General features: G+C 45.5%; 1 long non-coding RNA gene across 1 annotated transcript, besides 4 other annotated features; it reads right to left on the bottom strand.

Moving 5' to 3' along the window:
- Positions 3,722–4,354: an enhancer, noted in NCBI's record as "H3K27ac-H3K4me1 hESC enhancer chr17:63457379-63458011 (GRCh37/hg19 assembly coordinates)". NCBI's record gives its function as "activates a minimal SCP1, AML or CMV promoter by ChIP-STARR-seq in primed H9 embryonic stem cells {active_cell/tissue: H9 hESC(primed)}" and the evidence as "EXISTENCE:reporter gene assay evidence [ECO:0000049][PMID:30033119]".
- Positions 4,355–4,988: an enhancer, noted in NCBI's record as "H3K27ac-H3K4me1 hESC enhancer chr17:63456745-63457378 (GRCh37/hg19 assembly coordinates)". NCBI's record gives its function as "activates a minimal SCP1, AML or CMV promoter by ChIP-STARR-seq in primed H9 embryonic stem cells {active_cell/tissue: H9 hESC(primed)}" and the evidence as "EXISTENCE:reporter gene assay evidence [ECO:0000049][PMID:30033119]".
- Positions 4,989–5,622: an enhancer, noted in NCBI's record as "H3K27ac-H3K4me1 hESC enhancer chr17:63456111-63456744 (GRCh37/hg19 assembly coordinates)". NCBI's record gives its function as "activates a minimal SCP1, AML or CMV promoter by ChIP-STARR-seq in primed H9 embryonic stem cells {active_cell/tissue: H9 hESC(primed)}" and the evidence as "EXISTENCE:reporter gene assay evidence [ECO:0000049][PMID:30033119]".
- LINC02563 (long intergenic non-protein coding RNA 2563) lies at positions 7,207–8,074 on the bottom strand. Its single transcript, NR_131984.1, has 3 exons — positions 7,901–8,074; positions 7,499–7,581; positions 7,207–7,226 (listed from the first exon to the last, which is right to left on the bottom strand). It is a non-coding gene; the product is annotated as a long intergenic non-protein coding RNA 2563 (long non-coding RNA).
- Positions 9,239–9,738: an enhancer, noted in NCBI's record as "H3K27ac hESC enhancer chr17:63451995-63452494 (GRCh37/hg19 assembly coordinates)". NCBI's record gives its function as "activates a minimal SCP1, AML or CMV promoter by ChIP-STARR-seq in naive H9 embryonic stem cells {active_cell/tissue: H9 hESC(naive)}" and the evidence as "EXISTENCE:reporter gene assay evidence [ECO:0000049][PMID:30033119]".

The following is a 24,939-nucleotide window of genomic DNA, read 5'->3' as shown; positions in this document are numbered from 1 at the left end:
GAGTCACAAACTCACCACTACTTGCACAGGGACATGGATTGAAGGAGAGGCACCTGCCCCTCTGCTCTTCAGAGACAGAACGCCTAACCCTGAAGTCCAACTATGGAAACTTGTGAAATTGGATGCAACACCACAGGCATAATCCAATTCAACACACATTTAAGGATCACTTGGTATGAGCCAGGGAAAGGACCCAACTGTATCAGTCAGGATTAGGTTCAGCTGCCAAGTAATAGTGGCCGCCCCTGCCCAAGTAACAGCAGCTTAAATAAGATGCTAATTTGTTTCTTTCTCCCATAAAACCTCAGAGGCAGGTGGTCCAGGATGGGTGTGGGGCTCTGCTCTAGGAAGCATTATGGACCTGGATTCCTTCTGTCTTGTTGGTCCACCATACATGTCTCCATTCCCAGTGTCACCTCATGGTCTAAGGTGGCAGCTCCAGCTCCAGCCATCATGTCCATCAACAACAGACAGGTGGAAGAGATAATGAAGAAAGTCAGAGTGTGCACAGCGTTCGCTTTAGTGAAGATTCCTAGAAGCTGCCACTTGACGCGTGTACTTCAATGCCATTGGCTGAACTTGGCCACAGGATCACACTTAGCAGCATGGAGAAGTTGGGTAGTCATATACCACTAAAAATTGGGGTCTCTATTGCTACGAGAAAAGGCGGCAATTAGCATTCTCCCACACTGATGCATCTAAGCTTTTATTATGGATTAGTAATACATGTTACCTTCTTTGCCCCAACAACTCTGCAATTTGATTATTAGTGTTGATGCAAAAGTAATTGTGGGTTTTGCAATTACTTTTGCACCAACCCAATATTTTTATCTTCTGTATATAAATGAGAAATCTGATCCTTAGAGAGGTTAAGTAACACATTCTAGGTCATCCAGGAAGGAAATGGTGAGGCCGGGCTTCAAGGCAAAGCCTGTTTGACTCTGAAACCTGTGTTGTTACCTTTTCTATAAGGCCTGTGCTAGGGGGTAGGGATTCCCCAAATGAAAAGAAACCTTCTGCAAACATTATTTGGGAAATATTATCATTGCTATTTTGTGGCTTTTCCGAATGAAAAGAGGTGACAGATATAGATTTCATTTTTAAATTTTCTTTTACTTAAAAAAATTGTTTGTGGGTACATAATAGGTGTATATATTTAGGGGTACGTAAGATGTTTTGATACAGGCTGAAATAGATTTTGGATGCTGTTATGGGTTGAATCGTGTCCCCCAAAATTCATATGTTGAAGTCTTAACCCCTAGTCCTGCAGAAGGTGACCTAATTTGGGAACAGGGTAATTGCAGATGTAATTAAGTTGAGATGAGGCTGTACTGGAGAAGGACAGGCCACTTGTCCAGTATGACTGGCGTCATATAGGAAGATGACTATGGAAAGTCACAGAAGCACAGGGAGAATACCACGTGAAGGTGAAGCCAGGATTGAGGTGAAGCAGTAGAAGCCGAAGAACACCAAAGAATACAAACCACCGGAAGTCAGGTGAGCGGCACGGAACAGATTTCCCCTGGCAGCCCTCAGAACAAACCACCCATGCCAACACCTTGAGCTTGATTTCTAGGCTCCAGAACTTTTTCTGGTGTTTCAGCCACCCCGCCTGTGGTATTTTGTTATGGCAGCCCTAGAAAATTAATATGAATATAATGTGTTGTTCATTGCTTTGCCATGGAAACGATTTCAGATGGCTGTGAGGATGTCAGATTTTCAGGAAGGCGGGTGCCTTGATTTTCATTACAAAGGGGGAGAGTCACTTTTCTGTGGGCTCTCCCCAGGTTTCACCCAGGGCCATAAAGTTCTATGCAACTTTTGTTAAACCCCTTCTAATGTTCCAGGCTCTGGGCTAGATGCATGGCCCAAAGAAACCGGACCAGACTTTTAGAAGACATCAGGGTGCTTCTACTTACTCCAAAGGAAAGCCTTCATTTTGGCACAGGGCATCTCTATTTTAAGCTCAGACATTCCTGGTCACTGGCTACCTCATCGCCTTGGCATCAGGTAGGGTGAGAAGAGCAGGCCCGGGTTTGTTCAGCTTCTCAGCAAGGTGAGATTGACGAGCCCAGTACAGAAGCTGGAGTGAAAAGACCACGTCCTCTCCCAGCGGGTGCTGAGCCAAGTTGTCTTGGTATTTGAGTTGCTTCATCTGTAGCCTCTTATCTCACTGGGTTAGAGTGTGCTGCACTCATGAAACCAATGTCCCAGTGTGCTCAGAGGCTGGCTGGAGTATCCCGCTTATGAGTACAGCCTGTACCCCTGACTCATGGGGCTGATTTCCAGGCAAGTCCGTGCACTGCTGCAGCACTTCCTTGCTTTGTGTTTCAGGGTTCTGTCCCATTGGCTCGACTCTATGGCCATCGCCTGGAGTGTGTGTATGAGTGTTTGTTGGGAGGACACAGAGTGGCTTTCCTCCTCTTAAGAAGAGCTAGTAGTGCCCGGCGCGGTGGCTCACGCCTGTAATCCCAGGACTTTGGGAGGTCGAGACGGGCGGATCACAAGGTCAGGAGATCAAGACCATCCTGGCTACCAGGTGAAACTCCGTCTCTACTAAAAATACAAAAAATTAGCCGGGCGTGTTGGTGGGCGCCTGTAGTCCCAGCTACTCGGGAGGCTGAGGCAGGAGAATGGTGTGAACCCGGGAGGTGGAGCTTGCAGTGAGCTGAGATTGCAGCACTGCACTCCAGCCTGGGTGACAGAGCAGCCTGGGTGACAGAGCGAGACTCCGTCTCAATTAAAAAAAAAAAAAAAAGAAGAGCTAGTAGTCCTACCCCTCAACATCAACAAAATACAAACAACCCAATGAGAGTCATGGGCAAAGAGCTGGAGTAGACATTTCTCCAAAGAAGATATGCAAATGGCTAACAGACATGTGAAAAGATGCTCGCTATCACTAATCATTAGGAAAATGCAAATAATGCAAATAAAAACCATGATGAGATACCAGTTTGCACCAATTAGGATGCCTGTTATAAAAAAACAAAAAACAGAAAATAATAACAAGTGTTGATGAGGACGTGGGAAAGTTAACATTCTTGTGCGTCGCTAGCAGGAATGTGAAATAATGCAGTCATTATGGAAAGCAGTATGGATGCTTCTCAAATAATTAAATATAGAATTACTATCCAATCCAGTTATTCCATTTCTAGGTATATGCCAAAAAGAATCAAAAGAAGATACTTGAACAGATATTTGTGTCCCTGTGTTCGTAGCAGCATTAGCCACAATAGCCAAAAGGTAGAAACAACCCAAATGTTGGTTGATGGAGGAATTGGATAAACACAAAGTGATATACAGGCATACAATGGAATATTTTCAGCCTTAAAAGGAATGAAATTCTGATACTGCTACAACATCATTGAGGACATCATGCTAAGTGAAAAAAGCCAGACACAACAGGACAAATAGTGTATGATTCCACTTATAAGATGTACCCAGAGTAGCCAAATTCATAGAGGCAGAGAGTGGAATAGTGAATACCCAGGACTGGAGGGAGAGGGGAATGGAGAGTTAGTGTTTAATGGGCACAAAGGATCAGTTTGGAAAGGTGAATACATTCTGGAGATGGGTGGTGGTCATGGTTGTACCACAATGTGAATGGACTTAATTCCACTGAACTGTACACTTGAAAATGATTAAAATGGTGAATTTTGTCATACATTTTACCACAATAAAAATAGAGAATGGTTATTGATAATATCTGCCATTCATTGAATATAGTATTCCCTAGACAAAGCATTTTATGGGCATTAGTTCCTCAAGGCACTCATTGTTACTAGCCTTATTTTAAGGATATGAAAACTGAGGCTTAGACAGGCTCAATCATTTGTTCGGGATCACATGGCTAACAGTGAGCAGTGAGGTTTGAGCCCAGCTTTGACTGGCCCTAGGGTCTCAGCTGCAACACACCTGTAGAGCCTCTTGGCTTCATCCTTGCATCTGGGACAACGCCTGGATCATAGTAGGCACGTGTCTACCTCTGATCACATCTAGAGTGAGGTACAGACCCTGACAAATCACCAGAGCTCACCAGAGGGTGGCTGCATCAACACCGTTTCTAGAGGAGGCACTCACAGATGTCAAAGTTGAAAACATGTCTCGGTGCAGTGGCTCATACCTGGAATCCCAGCACTCTGGGAGGCCAAGGTGGGAGGATCACTTGAGTGCAGGAGTTCGAGACCAGCCTGGGCAACACTGCAAGACCCAATCTCTACTAAAAATTAAAAAAAAATTAGCCAGGTGTGGTGGTATATGCCTGTGGCCCCAGCTACTCAGGAGGCTAAGGTGGGAGGATTGCTTGAGCCTGGGAAGCCAAGGCTGCAGTGAGCTATAATCACAACACTCCAGCCTGGGCAATGGAGCAAGGCCCTGTCTCGAAAAAAAAAAAATGTTGAAAACATGACTCAGGCAAATATAGGGAACATGGGGGCTGGGGCCAGGACTAGGGTGAGGCAAGAGAGTAGGAAACCAGCAGGATGGTAACATTGGTCCCAGGAGTATATGACAGACTCACGTAGATGTAGCCATTGAAAGAGGGAGTACTGAAAATGGTTTTGCTAAATCAAATTCAAAACTGGTTTATGTCCTATATATAGGACAATGAAACTATAACCTTCGGGGCTATCTTTTTTTTTTTTTTTTTTTTTTTTGAGATGGAGTTGCACTCTTGTGGCCCAGGCTGGAGTGCAGTGGCGCGATCTTGGCTCACTGCAGCCTCCGCTTCCCTGGCTTAAGCAATTCTCCTGCCTCAGCCTTCAGAGTAGCTAGGATCACAGGTGCCTGCCACCACGCCCGGCTAATTGTTTTGTATTTTTAGTACAGTCGGGGTTTCGCAATGTTCGCCAGGCTTGTCTGGAACTCCTGGCCTCAGGTGATCCCCCTGCCTCGGCCTCCCAAAGTGGCTCACAGGCATGAGCCACCGTGCCCAGCCCGGGGCTATCTTTTCTATCAGACAGGAATTGTTTGCATCTCTACCAGACAAACATTATTTGCAACTTAGCAATTTCCTTTAAGTTAGCATCTAGAATCTGGGCCTTAATCAGCAATAAGTACTAAGTCAAAGTGCCCATCCCTTCACATTGACGGACCCTCGGGTATTACCCAGATCCCCTCTTTGGGGTTCAGCCCTGTCCCCACAGCTGCTGGGAGTATCAGCTGCTGATATGGGTAGATGGCTTACAGCTCTGTTCTTACCTGGAAATCACCTGAGATGGAAGGAAACTTCCTCCCCCACGTGTATACCTTCCCTCCCTTACTTCTGGTTGGTCTTGAACAGGTGATACAAAGCCTGGTGCTCTTGCCTTAATTTGCAACAACACCGATGGCCACCTGGGCTCCAGAGCTTTCCATGGGACAGGCTGAGGCCTCAGCGGCAGCCTCACTGCGGGTGAGCTTCACCCTCACCCATGCCTCCCTTTCCACAAGAGTTCCTCCCCAGAGCAGCCCCAGTACACCCTGGTCTTGCACCTGCCTGTCTCAGAGTCGGTATCAAGGGAACCCAATCTAACACAGGACTTATTACACAATGCTAGGGTGGCTTTGGGGAAAGGGCATGAAGGTGTCTTTTTGCCTCATTTATGAGTTTTTAGATACTTTCTCTTAAGGAAGGTAGTAAAAAAATCTGTGGAATGAACAGACAGGAGTGGGCGGAGAAGGCTCAGGGGAAGCCCTCCCCCACACCTGGAAAAACAACTCTGGGTCCGCTGACAGAGGCCACAACCAGCCTGCAGACCCCACGAGGCGCTGGGAACTCGAAGGCATGGCTCCCTGGCAGAGGTGAGAAATTTGACCGGACAGCAGTTGGTGCTTAAGATCAAGTGAGTTTTTCCACCTTCAGGGAGGAGCTGGAGAAAGCGCGAGAAGGCGTGCTTAAATCCTCGGGGGGTTGTTTTCAGTTGAATAAAACAGCCTGATTGAAAAAAAACGGCAAGGCTGAGTGCAAAGCCAGTGCCCCCCACCTCTGCTGGAAGCCCATCACCCCCCACCCCGCCGACCCCCAGGAGAGCCAATCCTAAGCTCACAGTAAATCGGTGAATTGGAAGAATCCAGGTTCTGCTCTGCCTCTTTCTTTCAGAGACAAAAATAAAGTTCTGGAAGGTGCAACTTAAAATAGACCTTTCATAAAAGATTCATTCCTGAGCAAGAATGTCACAAAAGCATGAAACGTGAAATAGACTGCTATCTGAATTCCATTTGAAGTATTTGGTGGCAATTATTTTAAAAATTCCCCCACAAAAGTTCTTTTCAATCACAGGACAGCAAGTAAGAGAGATCAGGGCCAGATAATTTCTTCAATGGGGGAAAAACTAGTTTCAAGTTTTAGGTACTGATTTAAGGCATTTTGGAGAATATGCATGAGTATTCAATGGATTTAGTTTCTTTTTTTTTTTTTAGAAAAAAGCCTACAGCCATTTGCAGAAAAATGCCTGAAAAGCAGAGGCTCAAACGAGATGTAAATTACCTCCAAGAACAGCCTAATAAGCCATTAATAACCACCGAGTCACTCCCTGTGAACAATGTGTGTACCTAAGGATTGAGAACTATTGTATCCTCAGAACCTCTTGGGAGATTGGGGTTGGAGTGATCGTGGTTCGGTCAGTAGATCTGTCTGCATCTGGGGACTAGCTCCAGAGCTTGCTCTTTGATAGGAGATCCTGGGGATCCCCTCTGGAAATAGACTTGCTTTCTATCAACACTGCACTCACCTGCAAACAAATCTAGGTTGACAAAAGCAGCAATTTCTGGGCAGTCTCTCTGCTCCATCTGGTGTTTCTCACCTCATTTTTTTTGTTTTTTTTCCTCCCCAGATCATTTTACCTCACTCACTAGCAAGGAGGAGGCGGTGTAGGTTCTTCTCTTTCCTTTTCCTTGGGTGCTTGGCATGGTGTCAATAGCATAAGTTAAAATTCTAGGCTCATAACAGCTTTCTGCAGAAGGGTCTCAATCTCCTTCCTTGCCTCTATAGGGTCTGCTTGGGGTTTCATTCCACCTGTTGTCCTCACCCCAGGTCAGTTTCCGGGGTGAATTTCAGATCCGTATGATTTCCCATAGGGTCCAGTTCTCCCCATCTAGAACAAAGGTCTGGAGTGGTAAATTTGAAGTGGGCTGGGTACAGTGGCTCACACCTGGAATTCCAGCACTTTGGGAAGCCAAGGTGGGTAGATCACTTGAGGTCAGGAGTTCGAGTCTAGTCTGCCCAACATGGCGAAACACCATCTCTACTAAAAATACAAAAAATTAGCCGGGCATTATGGGGTGTACCTGTAGTCCCAGCCACTCGGGAGGCTGAGGCATGAGAATTGCTTGAACCCAGGAGGCAGAGGTTGCAGTGAGCTGAGATTGCGTCACTGCGCTCCAGCTTGGGTGACGGAAGGAGACTCTGTCTCAAAAAGAGAAAACTGGCTTTGTCTTATATATGGCCCCTCTCCACACCCCTCCAGGCCAGAGAAAATAAAACAAAACCCCAAATGCTTGAAGTGGTTATGGCACTCACAATTCCCAACGGCCACTGGGTTTTCCTTCTGATCCTTCACGACTGATAACGTTAATTGCGCCTCTCATCCACAGGTGTGCTTTCTGGAGGGTTTGGAAGGAGTGGCGTGAATGCTGACAAGTCACTGGGGTTTGGTTCCAGCAACTCTTTTTAAGGTGAAAAGAGAACCAGTGTTAGAGTGGCCCCCAAGCAGAGATAGAGCCGAAGTGAGCACAGGTGGCCCTGGGACAGGTGGGGTGGGAGGGGTTGTGCTGGCAGTGGGGCTGGGGCGGCAGCTCTTCAGGGACAGGACCTGGGCTCAGCTAGAGGATGCCAAGGCCAGTGCCAAGGAGTGAGGAAGGAGCAGAGAGGAGCCTGGCAAGGTGTTCACATCCCCGTGAAAGCCAGAGGGACCAAGCTTGCCTTGAATGGAGCTGGGCACCGCAGGGCAGAGGACGCTCAGTTTCCACTGCATGTCTCCTTCTGGGAATGAGGTTTCTGACAATAAAGGACCACCCTCGCAGTGGCGCTGCACTCTAGACAGGAGTCCTCATAGAATCCCAAACTCTCAGGGAGGGTGATCAACTTATCCTGGTTGGGCCAGCACATTCTGGGTTTTAGCACTGAAAGTCCCACCTCCCTGAAACCCCCTCGGTCCTGGTGAGCCGCTTGCTCACCCTATGATCAGGTGTCCCCACCCCACTCCCCACCCCAGGAAGGAGCTGCAGAAGCAGGTGTGTCACAGAGCAGAATTATAGGAGCCCAAACTTACCTTTGCAACATCTAGAGCAGGTGGAGTTGGGCATTTTATCACAGAACCCAGCTGTGCCCTCATTTATAAGCGAGAGAGGGAAGAGAAAGAAAAATCCCATGTTGTTCTTTGGAATCCAGTGCCAAGTTTCTAGTCCTAAACACACACACAGTGTCCATGCAATGTAGGTGCATTTTTTGTTCAAACACCTGTCAGGCAATGTTGGGTGGTAAAAACAATACCTCTTCATTAGGCCCTGAGCACCTACTGTGTGCAAGCCACTGTTGCAGGTGCCTGTCATACAGGAACACATTTAATTATCAAAACAATTCCATGAGATGAATAAGATGTTCTGTTTTCAGCTGAGAAACTCAGAGAAGTGAAGACATTTGCCCTGGTAGCAAGTGGCAGAGCTATAAATAGAGGCAAAAGCAAAAAATAGAGGTGGAGGTGCTGTAGAGACACAGAGAAGCGCATGGAATGATTGCTATGTAGGGTGAGTGGGGCGCTCCTGCTGGCATGTGGGCTGGGTGGGGGTAGTGGGGTGCAATCTTTTCATTTATTTAACAAATACTTATATAGTGCTTAACTTGTTAGGTACTGTCCTAAGAGGATGAACCATTCTAAACTCATTTGATTCCCATAATCAACATTCATGTAGACGATCTTTTATGCCGTAAACAAGGTCTTCTCAACTGAAAGCAATTTTGCACCCCAGGGGACATGTGACAAAGTCTGGAGACAGTTTTGGATTGTCACAATGTGTGGGAGAGTGGGGGAAGTGGTACTGGCCTCTCTGGGCAGAGGGCAGGGACACTGCTAAACATTCTTCAGTGCACAGGACAGCTCCCACAACAAAGCGTGATCCAGCCCAAAAGTCAGTAGCACTGGGGTTGGGAAAGTCTGTTGTAACTAATGGGAATGACTGGGGCTCTGGGAGGTGCAACCTGAAAACGGTCAGTGTCCACGGCCCCTTCCCTTCTCCAGAATAAACCTGGAGTGGTTTTTCTATTGGTTTACTTCTTGCTGTCTTTTCTAGGGTTCGCCCCAGAGTTTAAGATCGACTTTTTAGTTGCAGTGCAAGCAGCTGCAGTTCTCTGGCAATGCCACCCGGCTTTGTTCTGGTTTGTTAAGACAGTGAGCTGGATTTTACAGTTATTGCCCTTGAAAGCCCCATAAATGGCATTCGCAGCATTAGTGGGGCTGGGGGTTGCCAGATTGGTAAGTTTAACTTTGAGGGATGGCTAACACTCCAGTGCCCTCTAGGGTTCATCTGGCTGCTGAGTTGCCCAAGCCTTTACCAGGTTGCAGAAAAGTTGGCCACGGATGAAATCAGAGTTCAAACAGGCGTGAGGTGGAACCTGAGCAGCACCTCTGAGCTTGTGTTGGCAGGCTCCTCACAGCAGGCCGGTATCTGCTCTGAGTGGGCAGGGAGGACGCCTGGGGACCCCAGCCTCCATCCTTTCCTTCATCATGGACTGTTATTTTTAACTCCAGGGGATCTGAACTAGCTGATGTTAAAACTGAAACTTTCTCCTTGGGGAAGCTTAGCTGCCTAGGCCTGGAATGGGTTTCAGAGGTCATGCCATCTGGTCTCGCTGCCCAGTAGGATTCTCCCTAAGCAGGATCGGTTACATCATTTGCAGGGCCTAGCACAAAATGAAAACGTGAGGCCCCATATTGAAAAATTATTAAGAATTTCAAGACGGCATTTCAAGAGCAATTTTTCACGCTCTGAAGTATCAGAGCATGAAACCAAGCACACGGCCCTCTGAGTGTGAGGCCGTGTGTGACTGTACAGGTTGACACCCATGAAGCCAGCCTTAACGCCATGTTACCCTGTGGTCCCTGACACTATGTACAGGCTTGCCCAGGATGGGCTTGGTTTACTCCTGTTATGCCAATGTCATTATTGGGTGCCCCTTCCACTCTCAACACTGTCCTGGTTTAGACAACAAATTATATTATGTGGTAACCTTATAATTACATGACAACCTTCTAGGTAATTTCCTCTCATCCTATCTATGTTGTAATGTCACACAATGTCCAGCCGTTGCATCATTTTATGTAGGGGACCAAGTGATAATGACCTTTTTTTTTTTTGTTTGCCATCATGGTTTACTGAACACACATGCATGCACTAACTCACTTCATACTCACGGTGATATCAGAACAGGGGAGTATATATTTGCAGTTGAAGTAAGTGCAGCTTAGACAGGGTAAATGGTGTCAAGTGGCTGGTGAGTAGCAGATCTAGGACCTAAGCCACGATAGTATACGATTTCCCGCTGGAGTGATCAGTGGCCCCAGTTTGCCTGGGAGTGATGAGGTTCTCTGGGCATGGGACTTTTTAGTTTTAAAACTGGATAAGTCTTGGGCAAGCTTGGACAAACTAGTTACCTGATTCCAAGTCCACCCCATCTTGCAGCTTTCATGAATCATTTTAAATAACTTTATATTAAACATTTTATGAGAATTCTAAGGTTGGACTTCCCTTTAGTATTCAGAGGATTCTGTCATGACTGGCGGGTGGAGTATAAAGGCAAGATGTTCAAATCCACAATGATTCCTAGAAAATGTTTTACTGTATACCTATACCCTCCTGCACTTTCGACTCTGTGTGTGTGTGTGTGTGTGTGTGTGTGTGTGTGTGTTGTGTATGCACATAAAATGCATTTTTGGAGTCCTGCTTTGTAATAGTTTTTCATTTATAGCAGAAGTCAGTAAACATTAACATTAAAGAACCAGATAGTAAATATTCTTTGCTTTGCAGGCCATAAGGCCTCTGTTGCAACTTCTCAACCTTGCTGCTATAGTACAAAACCAATATGAAGAGAAATGGACGTGTCTGTGTTCCAATAAAATTTTATTTACAAAAATAGTTGGCAGGCCAGATTTGCCTGGCAACCCATAGTTTTCCAGTCCTTGGTCTGTAGCATTTATATTATATAAATAATATAATTTATATTATATTATATTATAAATTATAATATTTATAATGCTCATGCCCGGCAGGCATGAGCCACTGCGCCTGGCCTGAGGCTGGTTAATTTATAAAGAACAGAAATTTACTTTCTCTCAGTTTTAGAGGCTGGGGAGTCCAAGATGAAGGCTGGTGAGGGCCTAGTCTCTGTTTCTAAGATGGTACCGCGTTGCTGTATCCTCTGGAGGGAAGGAACGCTGTATCCTCATGTGGGGAAGGTGGAGGGCAAGAGAGCTGACTGCTATATAAAGCTTCTTTTATAAGGGTCTTAATTTCATTCACGAGCAAGAGACCCTCAAGACCTAATCACCTCTTAAAGGCTCATACCTGTTAACGCTAGCATACTTGCCATTAATTTTTAACACCAGAATTTTGGAGGGGACACATTGAAACTGTAGCCTGTAGGCCATCAGAAATATCCAAAATGATTTGTTAACAGATGCAAAGCGGGTTACTATCTCCACGGCCATAAAATGTTACATTTGGAATCATATTTTCTGCAGGGTGGACAACAATTAGCAACAATTAGGGCAAAATTCATTTGTATTTCTATGAATAAGATTGATTTGAATGACTGCCTTTTTTTTTTTTTTCAACTTGGAGAGTTGCAAAACAGCCTCATCAAAGACAATGCAAGGTGGAGACACCTATAGAATCAGATTACCTCAAAGGGCCCACTAGATGCCACGAAGCATTCCATGCAAATGACATTCCATACCCCTTTGCTCATTTCAAAATCTTTCGTTATTGTCTCTGACACAATAGTAAAATTTTACCACATCATTTTTTTAATGGCTGTGTGGTACTCCATTGTACTGAACTACTCTATTTCTCAATATTTAAAGAAAGCTACCATGAGCATACAGATGGATAGACATATTTGTGCACATTCCACATCCCCCCCTCCCCACCAAATCCCTAGAACTGTAGTTGCTGGGTTTAAGGATATATTGACTTTTAAGGCATTAAATACACATTGCTCTGTTGCTCACTTGGTAGCCGTGTTTGAAAGAGTGTCCATTTTGCCACATCTTTGCCAAAACTGAGAAACAGAGTCTTTTCCATTCTTTTTCATTTTAGCTAATTTGAAAGGGGGAAAAAACTGTCTTTTTTTTTTTTGAGACAGAGTATCACCCTGTCACCAGGCTGGAGTGCAATGGCATGATCTCGGCTCACTGCAATCTCTGCCTCCCAGGTTCAAGTGATTCTCCTGCCTTAGCCTCCTGAGTAGCTGGGACTACAGGCACGTGTCACCACCCCCAGCTAATTTTTGTGTTTTTAGCAGAGACGGGGTTTCACCATATTGGCTAGGCTGGCCTTGATCTCTTGACCTCATGATCCACCCGCCTTGGCCTCCCAAAGTGCTGGGATTATAGGCATGAGCCACCGCGCCCGGCCTGGAAAAAACTGTCTTGTTAAAAAAACCTTGTTTTTAAATCAATGGCTTTCTCTCTCTACACTCTCTGCATGGTGTCATATGGGCCCATAACTCCCAATCCACCCAAGTGGGTAGACGTCTCCATTTAGATGTTCAATGGACATCTCAACTCAACCAGTCCTAAATGGAACTCTGCATATCTCCCCAAGGAGCACCCTCCTCAGCATGGTCCCCATCAGCCCTTACCCATCTCATGCTATGGCATTGCCATCCATCCAGTTCTTAGCTAGGAACATGCCAGCCGTTCTTGATCTATTCTCTTCCTTTCCAGTTTGTTTGAACATTTCAGCAAGATGGGTCCACTCCTTTTCCAAGGTACGTTCAATAGATCTCCATTTCTTCATCTCCGAAATGAGGGCGATAATAACAGTAAGCAGGTCATAAGCCTGCCCACTTCTCTGCTCCCCAGGGCCACCATTTGCAGTGGTGGAAGCCACTGTCCTCTCTCATCAGTCCCCTTATGTTGTCTCCTCATTTCTATTTTTGCCCCTTCACAACCCTGACACAAGAGTGACTTTCAAGTAAGTAAGTCAGATGACATCATTTATTCACCCCTGTTATCTTCTCAAGTTCCTTGCCATTTACACCATCTGGTTCCTGCTAGCATCAGGACTTCACCTTACACGCCCCCCCGCTTTGAACACTACTGTACCCACATGGACTGTTTGCTGTCCCTCTGTGTGCCTAAATGGATTTCCATCTTTGAGAGTGTCTTAGTTTGGGTTGCTATAATGAAAATGCCATAGACTGAATGTCTGAAACAGTAAACATTTATTTCTCACAGTTCTGGAGGCTGGGAAGTCCAAGATCAAGGCATTGGCAGATTTGGTGTCTGTGAGCATTTTCCTCCTTGTGTGTAGACAGCCACCTTCTTATAACCTCACACAGCCAAGAAAGAAATCAGCTCTTGCATGTCTCTTCTTACAAGGACACTAGGTCCAATTCATAAGGGATCTACCCTCATGACCTAACTATCTCTCAAAGGCCCCACCTCCAAATACCATTACATAGGGGATTAGGTCTCAACATAGAATCCTGGGGTGACACAACATTCAGCTCACAGCAGAGACCATGTTTGCTGTTCACCCTGACTGGGATGCACTTTTACTATCTCTTCATATAACTGGCTACTGCTTATCATCTTATTCTAGCTCCAACAGCAGCCTCTTCTTCTGCCAGATCTTCTCTGACCACATGCTCATTGCCCCCTACCCAATTACTCTCCCCTACTGAATCCTGATTCGCTTCCTTCATAGCATTTTTAAAATTTTGTATTTACTTTCTTTGCTTGCCTGTATGACACCTGTCTTTCCCAAGTAGAATGTGAACTTCCCAAGAGCAGGGTGTCTTGGCTCTTTTGATTGTGGCTTTATTCCCGATGATTATAGTGCTGAGCCCAAAGAAAAGAGTCAACAACTGTTTGTGGATGGAATGGATGGATGGATGAACTGAGTAAAACCTCTCTTCTGCCTCACCGTTGGTATCTTAGTTTTATCTTCTCCCACTTCTTTCAGTCTTTGTTTAGTCAGTCAGTAATATTTATTGAGTGTCTGTGGCAGACAGAGTTGAGGCCTAGGATATGGCAATGACCAAAATAGATAAAACCCTGCTTCTGTGGCATTTATGTTATGGTGCTCCATTTGCTTCTGCATATTCTTGTTGATCTTTCTGGGAATCTTTTGCATTGGGCAACATTGTCCTCTTCCTTCTTTGCCCTCTGTGTCTCTACTTGTTTTCTCTCTTGCCCTGCTCTTTGCCTATTCCTTTGTCCCAGAGGCAGGCACATCTATCCCCGTGTCCTTTTGACACCCAGACCCTCCTCTCTGCTGTTTCCTTCTCATACCCATAGTTCATTTCAAGCATCTGGCTGCATTTTCCCTTAACTGTTTTCATTCCAAGCACTCCCTGAAATCCAGCATCCGCATTGCCCTGGTTTCTTCCAGAGCCTCTTTTCTATCCCTTCTGCTTTCAAAACCCAAGGTAACTGGCCAGGTGCTGTGGCTCACGCCTATAATCCTAGCACTTTGGGAGGCCGAGGAGGGCAGATTGCCTAAGCTCAGGAGTTTGAGACCAGCCTGGGCAACATGGTGAAACCCTGACTCTGCTAAAAAAAAATACAAAAATTAGTCAGGCGTGGTGGCGTGCACTTGTAGTCCCAGCTACTTGGGAGGCTGAGGCACGAGAATCGCTTGAACCCGGGAGGTGGAGGTTGCAGTGAGCCGAGATCGAGCCACTGCACTCCAGCCTGGGCAATAGAGTGAGAATCTTGTCTCAAAAAAAAGTAACTTCTTGGGAAACTCTCACCATCTAACTTGTTGCATTTTCTCTTTCCCTCTGGGTTGGCCAACTAGGCTTGCCTCCTGTACGCTTAGGCATGACTGTGGCCACTTGGCAAGAATAGCCTCTCTTTCCTTAGAAATCATGTCGAACTGGCCTGTAGTTTAGACAGAATGCCATTTGCTTGAGCCAGCAAACTTTCTTACCTGAACATTGTACTCAGTTTCCGAAACTGCAACTTTAGTACATTTGTGGCTTTCCCCAGTGTCAGAAAAAGGAAAGGTGAAATTGTATTTTCCAAACCCCAAATGAAGAAACATAGGCTGATAAAAATTGTTTTCCTGAATTGCGAGGGTTTTTTTCCCACCAAAATGTATTACACTGGTATACAAATTAGGACATGAATGATGTATTTTCTATTAAATTTTATTGTACATAGAAGGAATCACTTTTATTTAGAAAATAGGAATAGCACATAAAACCTGGGCTGTTTCGAAAAACCCGAGAAGAGGAATCACCCTAGAGGATAGACTAGTCTTTCTGTGAAAGGTAGAGCCAAATGGCTAAAGTTTGGGAAAGAAAGACATTAAGATTCCATCTTCTAGGAAGGTCCCTTTGGCCCCCATATTAATTATCTATCGGTGCGTGACAATATTATCACAAATATGGCTGCTTAAAACAACAGGCATTCTTTATCTTAAAGTTTCTGTGGGTCAAGAGTTTGAGCACAGTTTATCTGGGTTCTCTGCTTAGGGTCTCACAAGGCTACAATAGAGGTGTCATCTGGGGCTGCAGTCTCCTCTGAGGCTAAACTGGGGAAGGATCTTCTTCTAGGCTCATGTGTTTCTTGGCGGCATTCAGTTCCTTGCAGGCTGCTGAATTAAAGCCTTCAGTTGTTTTGTTTTGTTTTTGTTAGCTGTCAGCTGGAGGCTGCCCTCAGCTCTTTGTCATGTGGCCTTCTCTGGATGGTAGCTCACAACTGGCAGCAGGCTTCTTTCAAGCTAGCAAAGAAGAGGAAGTCTCTTCACAAGACGGGCTTTGTAAACTTAGTCACATACACGTGGTCATGCACATCTCTTCACCTTTGCCACATTCTGTAGACCAGAGGTGATTAACAGGTTATGCCCACACTCAAGGGGAAGGGACCCACAAGGGCATAGATACAAACAGGTGGGGCTCACGGAACCCCCTTAAAATCTGTCCATCCCTAACCCTCACCCCCAAGCTGAATTTCCCACTCTTTCTTTATACTCTATGCCCCAGGTGTCCTTGGCCATGGCATCTTCATACTTTATTGTAAGGGTGCCGTCCTTGCTGGTCTAGACTGTGGTTCTCTGAGGTCAGGCACAGTCTCCACCCCCTCCCCTCAATCATTTCATTGCCTAGAAAAGAATCTGGCACCTGTTAGGAACTGCATAAGTTCCTTCTGCAGTTAAGAATGTTAGGAACTCAAATGTTAGGAACTGCATACATGTTTGTAGAAAGAAGAAACCTGCTATCTCAAGCTCAGTAGCCAGGAATCTTTCTTACCTCCTCCCCTCCTGCCAAAGTTGCTTCTCTTTTCTCACCTCTACGACATAACTGAGTGCCTTCCTTGTGCTGGGCACACAATCTTGTTGACTCTCCCTCTCTCACATCTTACAGCACCCCAGCTATAAGATATCATGCTTGGAAAAGAGCAACCACCTTTTCCATTGAAAGTTCCTGTCACTAAGTGGCCCCCACACAGTTATGTTAATATTTATGCTCGGAACTCAGTGCCTGCTTCAAAGCCCATGGGCTTGTCTGTAGGTGCTTGGGCCTCTCTGAGACGGCCAGAAATGTGGGCAGTGGTGACTTCATGTAAGGTTAGAAGCAGTAAGGCACCGTGGTTTAGAACTCTGGCCTTGAAAACGATAAATCTGGGCTTCTGTCCTGGCTCTGCCCCCTCCTGACTGTGAAACCTTAGATGTACCCTACACCTCAATAGATCGCCATTTTTTCATCTCCAAAATGAGGACCATAAGTAGATCATAAGCTGTTGTTTGAATCACCTAAGATAGCCCAGTGTAAATTCTTTAGCACAAAGTCAAACTAGAGGGGATCCTCAATAAACATGGACTCTTGCTTTTGTCACCAACCAGGGTGCCTGCTAATTAACAGCAGCTCCTTTCAGTGGTCTCTATCAGGGAGGTTGGGTCTCTTTCCTACCCCCACCCTCATTCTTATCTTACAGAATACAGTGCTCCTAAGGGCTGGGAGGATGGGCCTTTGCTCACCCTCCCTAGTCCTTCCCTGTAGTGACTCTGTTTTGGGTTGAGGGGTACGTTGACTGTTGCTCCGAGTCTAAAGCACATATCCAGAGTGCTGCCTGCATACCTTACGTGACTTTAACTTTCCAGTATGCTGGTATTTCAGTTCTTAGCATTAATTTGTTAAAATGTAAAATTCTATTAAATTTTAAGATAGGCATTTTTAGTAATTCCCATTGCCCCATCTGAATTATTGAAAAGTATAAATTAGGGTACATTTGGGAAGATTTTACTTCCAAAAGCATTTAGTAAAGCAATCCAGGTTAAGAGGTGTTGTCAAGTAGAAATTCTGCAGACCTACCTCAATGAATGGATGAGTGTCTTTTTATATAATCCTATCACTTGGACTGTAGACAGGTCCTGCCAAAATGCTGAAAAGTTTGTTCCCTCGAGTAGATTAAACATTTCTCTTTAATTTAATTTTATTGTCTTTATTGGTTTAGCTCATTCTTTCTTCATAAGCAAGATATTTCGGCCCAGTCCCTACTGATCTTGCCATGAATTCCAGATCAAAAGATTGGAAAACCATACAACTGGGCTGCTCTGGTCCACTAGGAACCTCAGAGCCTTTAAGCTCCATGGTTCTGGCACTGCTCAGCTGCCTCTCTTGTTCCCCTCTGGTGCTGCTCAGAATCTTTACCACTGTCTCAGAGCTAGCCTGGTCACCCCATGCTTGTCCCCTCACTTTTGGCAAACACTTCTGCCCCCTAATTCTTTGAGAAAATCCAGCTTATCAGGCTGACCTCTCTCGACATCTTGTCTTCACACGGCCACATTTATCTAAATCTTGATGCTCCCTTCTCTTCCTTCCTCCAGCCTCAGAAGAGGAGGTGCATCCTGCCTTCTAAACTCAGAATCAATCCTCTTCCCACCTGCTGAGGGTCCTTAGGCATCCTATAAACATGTCCAAGCCTTTCACTCTCTTAAAATGACAACAGCCTAAACCTCTAAGCCTTAAACCCTCTCTCCATCCTGTGGCCCTATCTCTCTCCGTCCCTTCCCTGCCAAGCTTCCTGAAAGAGTTGTCCTCAGCCACAAGGCCATGTCATCACCTACCATCTTCCTATCCATCAACTGCGTGCTGGCTGCCAGTCCCACCATTTCCCTGACATGCTTGCCAGCAAAGCTAGGGACTTCTTTATTGCAAAATCCAGTAAGCACTGTTTAGTCCTTATCTGACCAATTTTCCCGCAGGCTTTGACTATTACCCTCTCCTTAAGAAGCTTTCCCTTCTTGGGCTCCTAGGTCACCCCTCTCTCCAGGTTTTCTTCATACCCCTTTATTTGTCTCCTGGGACTTTATACTTGGCCTGTTTCTTGTTCTGTAAACTCTCCCCTGAGTGATACATTCAATCTAGTGCTCTAGTCACCACTCACATTCGTGGCTGTGGACATCCTGGGATGACTCCCAGCTGTCTTTCCAGCCCAGGTTGGAAGCCCCACTCCTCTGTATTCCACAGCGCACTGGACTTGTCCCGTTTCTTTCCTGTGGGCACCACAATCTCAAAACATCATAAAATATCTCATATCTTCCTCTCTCTTGCCCTCCACCCCTCTCACAAAAGCGCCACTTGTGCTGGGACCCTGGTTGCCACATCTGAATCTCCACTCTCCTGCTCCCCCATAGCAGCCCTCCTGGCCTTGTCTGAACTTGCCCTGGAATCCTTCTCCAACCTGAGTATTTCTCCCCATGGCCCCAGCACTGCTTAGCTTCGGTGGCCATTAGTTCTCACCTGGATAACTTTGACAGCTTCCTAACAGCTCTCTCCACCTGCACACGTGCCCATGTCCAACCCACCTACTGCACTGCATCTGGAAGGAACCCAAAACAATAAAAGCCTCTGTCCTCTTTGGAGCTGCCGATGGCCTTCAAGGGTCAGTCAGGCCATCTCCTTTGTGCCCATTTAAGCTTTGCCAGAATCACCAGCCTCATCTCCCTGACCCCTGTTCCTACTCTTCACTTCAGTTCACACGGACCTTCTTTCCCATGTCCAACCCTGCTACCTGACAGACTCCCACCTTCTCCCTCTTCCTGCAGCCTTCCCAGTCTGAGCAGGTATATTCCTCCCAGCTCCCTGAGCTGCCTGGGCACTTCTTAACCATTGCCTTCATCACATGGCTTTGTCAAGAGTCCTTCTCTTCCACTTCCCAAGAACGTGTATTCCTGGAGGACAGGGACTCATTGCGTCTGGGTAATCCCAGGGCTTGGCCCAGAGCCTGGCATCCAGTAGACAGGCCAACCAAACAAAGAAATAAAGGCTGTTGTTTCCTTGTTCCATTTTAGGAAGGTTTACAGTTTTTTTTTAAATTTTATCTTAAGTTCTTGGATACATGTGCAGAATGTGCAGGTTTGTTACATAGGTATACATGTGCCATGGTGGTTTGCTGCACCTGTCAACCCGTCATCTAGGTTTTAAGCCCTGTATGCATTAGGCGTTTGTCCTAATGCTCTCCCTCCCTTTGCCCCCAACCCTCTGACAGGCCCCATTGTGTGATGTTCCCCTCCCTGTGTCCGTGTCTTCTCATTGTTCTCCTCCCACTTATGAGTGAGAACATGCAGTGTTTGGTTTTCTGTTTCCGTGTTAGCTTGCTGAGAATGATGGAGGAAAGCTTGTGTTTTTATCCATGTGACTTGAGTAGTACAGAATGCAAAATAACAGCATGGACCTCAGATGGCTTCTGAGCTCTTCTGTCTTGGGACAGCCTCTTGGTGGACCTCTGGCTTCCTCTGTATCCAGCGTTAGTGACAATGTTTTTGACTTCAGGTAGTTTCACATGACTAGGGGTAGGAATGAGGGAGCGGATGTCAAGTTTGGGTATAATCACTTTTTAGTTGTGTGACTCCATGCAAGTCACTCAACCTGTCTGAACTTTTCTCTCCTTTATCCATAAAATGCCAATTAAAAATAGAATCAACCCTCCTAGAGATATTGGGAGTCTCAGATACAAAAATAAATGTAAAAATATGTTATTAACTGTCAAGCCATTGGTTAAAATTTGAGGGATGGAAGGGTGCCAGGACAGGTCTCTTTCTGAGAGACTTAATTAAAAAACTGAAAAAGTGTAATGAGAAACTTCAGGTTGATATTTTGCCGTTAAGGCCAATGTTCCCCTAAACCTTATTAGAGTGTGGGCTTCTCAGCAACAGGAACTGGGTTCTTGTATCCCTTTTGTATCCCCTAGTGCTTAAGACACTGCATGGTCAAAAGCAGATGTCAACGAGTGGTTCTTATGTGGATGATATATATCCCAGGCTTGAGTGCAGTGAGTGGTGATCATGGCTCACTGCAGCCTCGACCTCCCGGGCTCAATCAATCCTCCCATCTCAGCCTCCCAAGTGGCTGGGACTACAGGTGCATGCCACCACACCCAGCTAATTTTTAAAATTTTTTGTAAAGATAGGATTTCACCATGTTGCCCAGGCTGGTCTCAAACTCCTGAACTCCAGGGATCTGCCTGCCTCGGCCTCCCAAAGTGCTGGGATTACAGGCATGAGCCACTGTGCCCTGCCGCTGCTGGTATATTTTTATTTGTTTATTTATGTACTGTACATAAAGACTTAAAGGCATCCAATTTAATACATTTTGGAAAAGCAAATGTAAAATGACTTGGGCTTTAGATTTTTAATTGACAAGGAGAAATTGTATATGCCATTGATATTTCAGGACCAGATGATAATGCTGTTACTTCTTATTTTCTTGTGAGGAGAGAAAATTGCAAAAGAGAGTCACATGCAGGAGACAGAGGTGGGATGGGAAATAGTAGACACCCATTATTTTTTGATTCCCAGCATTCATTTACCAACTCCTAATGATGCAATTCACTTTTTCTCGGGGAAACACTTGTCTTCCACTCTCCGTTCTCAGGCTGGGGATGGAGTTGACTTTGCTACTAGTTCTAGGTACAGGCCTGGCCAATCAGAGCATCATATTCCTCTAGCCACTGGGATGGGCATAAGACCCTATTAGAGCCAACGGGTCTTGATGAGCCTAGTGCTTAGACTTTTGGGAGAAAGGCATATTCTCTTTCTGTTGGACTCAAACATGGGAGAATACAAATATGAAATTTGCCATTTTGTCACCACGTGGAGCTTGAGACAAAAGCAAATATGGAGTGAAATGGAGATACTGAGCCCTGTGACATCTTTTGAACTCCTGGATCAAACCATACCTGAAGCTAGTTAGACCTCTCTCAACTGTTCGGTTTTCTGAGTCAATTCATTTCCTTTTTTGTTTGTCAGTGTAAATTAGGTTCTCTATTACCTGAACCGAGAAACTGGGAGTTTTCTGACATTTGGAGCAAAGAGACTCTTATGGGATTGTGGCCGGGGGGATTGTACAACCTTAGCTTCAATTCCTCCTATACCTTGCTGCTCTCCCTGGTATTGATGGACGAGCTGAATATGACAAGGTCTATGAAGATTCAGGCACTGAACACCTCCAGGATGATTTAAAGGAAGAGGTGGATTTAGGAGATTCTCAGGGAAGTCTTTTAACCCTGAGGTCCCCAAAGTCTACAAAAGAGCTCAAGGATTGTAACTTCATACTGCCAATAATGCTACAAAATTCTCATCTGGCTGTGGGTCAACTTCCAGAAAAACCTTAAACACTGGCTCCCCTTCAGTGTCAAATTATAATTCTCCTCTTTCATCTTCCCCTGCAGTTCCTTCTGTTTTTCATTTCTCTTGATTTCTTTCTTTGGGCTTTTGATCTGTTTTCTATTGTTATCATTCAGGCATCTCATGCCTGAACTTTCCAAGTCCGTGTAATCCAACCATAACAACATCTGGGATCTGTGGCCGTGTATTAATGTTAGTTCCTCCTGATGCATCGGGGCTGGGTGCTTTGCTGGATTATTTTATGCCTTTGTTCCACAAAGCTGACTTTCCTCCAAATCTGAGCCCCAGGATTTTCCAAGGAACTTTCCAAAGTGGGCAGGAAGTAAGGAGAGCTCTCGGGGAATTTCCTCTGCTATCTTGTCTGGTTCACTTGCCCCCACCAGTGGCTTTCACATTCCTTTGCCCCTGATGACTGGCTCCTTGGAGTCTTGCTTCCAAAACCTTGGGATATTCACCATCACCCAGCCTTGGGTGGTGTCTGCTAGAGCTGGCTTGAAGGACAGCTCTGTTCTTTATTGGCTGTTTGCTTGACAGCAAGTCACCCAACCTCTTTGAATCCCAGTTTCTCTGGAGTAAAGCTGGTGATTTTAAAGTATAGGATTGTGGTGAGGATCACATGGAATTTGGTACAATACTTTATATAAAACTCCTGGCACAACATAGTAATAGCTACCTTTTGTGGACTTAAGAAACTTCATTAGATAGCTTGCTTCTGTTATGCCATTTGGCCCTAGGATGTCCATTCATAGGAGATATTGTTATTCCCACTCTGCAGAGGAGGAAACCGAGGCTGAGGATAGTCATTGCCAAAATTGGCCTCTCTTCTCTCCCCCATGCTGCCTGAGACAGAGTCATCACTTTCAGCATGGAAGCTGTGATGTCTGTCCTTTCTCTCCACTGAAGTCATTGTGGCTTTTTAAACTGGGTGTCACCACCTGGTACTAGAAAGTAGCAATTCTTCACTAAATCCTAAGACTGCATTGCCTACCTGTGTTCATCAAAACTATTAGCAAGGGACAAAAAACAAATTCAAACTAGAGTCAGTGGAAAGCACAGAGAAAACTGTGTTGCCTTAGGTAAGGGAAAACCCCGGGGGTATGTAATGCCAGCTCCACTGGCTCTGAGGTTAGATGGCATGTTCACAGGCCCTCCTCTCCCTCTTCCAGCCTTTAAAGGTGTCTCTGCCTTGCCTCTGTCCTCTCTGGGTGGTGGCAGATGCCCTTGGCAGCACCAGGCTTTCCTGATTGGCCCAGCAAAAGTCCCCAGGGGGCCTCACTTGTCCTCTTGAATCACGTGTCCTTCCCCAGGACAATCACTGTGGCCGGCTTGGGTCATAAATGCACCTTGGCGTGCAGGAATGGAGTCATCCCCACTGAAACCATGTTGACTCAGGCAGTGCAGGTACATGTGAACGTCAAGGGCCACGTTTCCCATTGTACGATACTGTTTCCTGAACTCACTTCTAAACTATGATGTTACTACCCACTCTGGTTTCATCTCAAGCAATACTATTTGTGATACCACAGGTTTGGGGATATCTATATGTATGTAAAATCTATCTATCTATCTATCTATCTACCCATCCATCTATCATCTATTATGTGTCCTTTCTAATATACATGAAGATAAATATATAGCTATGAAAAAAAATTATAATCTCTCATCCCACCAGTATCTACACCACACCACACTTTGGAAAACACTGATGTAATCCACCCTTGTCTTTTACAGCTGAGGAAACTGGGCGCAGCAAAGCTAAGCAATTTACGCGAGGGCAAATCGAAAGTGACAGAAATGGGACGAGAAGCCCGATTCCAGCTTTGGATGTGCTGATATTTTATTTTATTTTATTTTGAGAAGAAGTCTCTCTCTATTGCCCAGGCTGGAGTGTAGTGGTGCGATCTTGACTCACTGCAACTTCCACCTCCCAGGTTCAAGTGATTCTCCTGCCTCAGCCTCTTGAGTAGCTGGGATTACAGGTGCCCGCCACCACGCCCAACTAATTTTTGTATTTTTAGTAGAGACAAGGTTTCACTATGTTGACCAGGCTGGTCTCAAACTTCTGACCTTAGATGATCCACACGCCACGGCTTCCTAAAGTGCTGGGATTACAGGCATGAGCCACTGCTCCTGGCCTGTGCTTATTTTTAATTCCCCAAGCAACATGGTTAGTAGCTCTGCCCCTTACCAGCTGTGTGTCTTTGGGCAAGTTACTTAACTTCTCTGTACCTCTGTGTGCCCATCTGTAAAATGAGGGACAATGATAGTATCTACTTCATAAAACTTTTATGAGGATTCAATGAATTTGTATTTATGAACCACTTAGGACAGTGCCTGGTACATAGTAAGCATTATATGTGTTTGCTAGATAAACAGGATGTGACTTGGAGTCACAGGAAATGTAAGCTTGTAGTTCATTTTCCAAATTCCCAGAGGAGGGAATTTGCATGGTTTCAGGTTGGGTCAGATGCCCACCCCCTGAACCAACCAACTGTGGCCAGGAGGATGCGATCACATGATTAGGAGACGGCTATACCCACTGCAACCCCCAGAAAAGGATCTGCCAGGCACAGGAAAGAGGGGAGGAAAAAGTGAGAAGGTTGAAGTTACTGCTTATTCAGGCTCTGGTGATCAGCAGTGTTCCCTGGGATCCAGCAGGGGTATGCAGAGACTCTCTGCTGATCCATGCCTGACTCAAAGCCCCCTTTTCCAGGAAGTCTACTTTGATTTACTTCACCTGTTTGGAAGAATGTTCTTCTCAGTGCCAACCATAAAAGGAGAGTTCACTTGTTGTCTGACTCGTTTTCCATAGTTGGTTAAAAAGTGCATGTTCTGCTTCTCCAAACAGATCACGTGCACCTTGAACATGGGTAACTAATACTTTACTCTTTTGTCATTACTACCGAGTGTCTAGGTTAGGCCCAGACAGTGTTCAAAGGGTGAATCCCTGTAAAATGAGCAATACTTTCAGAGACCTGATCCTTTGTTTTGAACCCCAGTTTGGCCAATAGATGTTAGCTGAAAAAGGCAGGGGTAAAACCATTAGAGAGATATCACTTTACACAAAATTGATGTGAATAAGAATTTTATAAATGCTTTCTTCAT

Source organism: Homo sapiens, chromosome 17 (assembly GCF_000001405.40).
Source record: "Homo sapiens chromosome 17, GRCh38.p14 Primary Assembly".
Lineage (NCBI taxonomy): Eukaryota > Metazoa > Chordata > Mammalia > Primates > Hominidae > Homo > Homo sapiens.
This window is presented reverse-complemented; position numbering and strand designations above follow the sequence as displayed.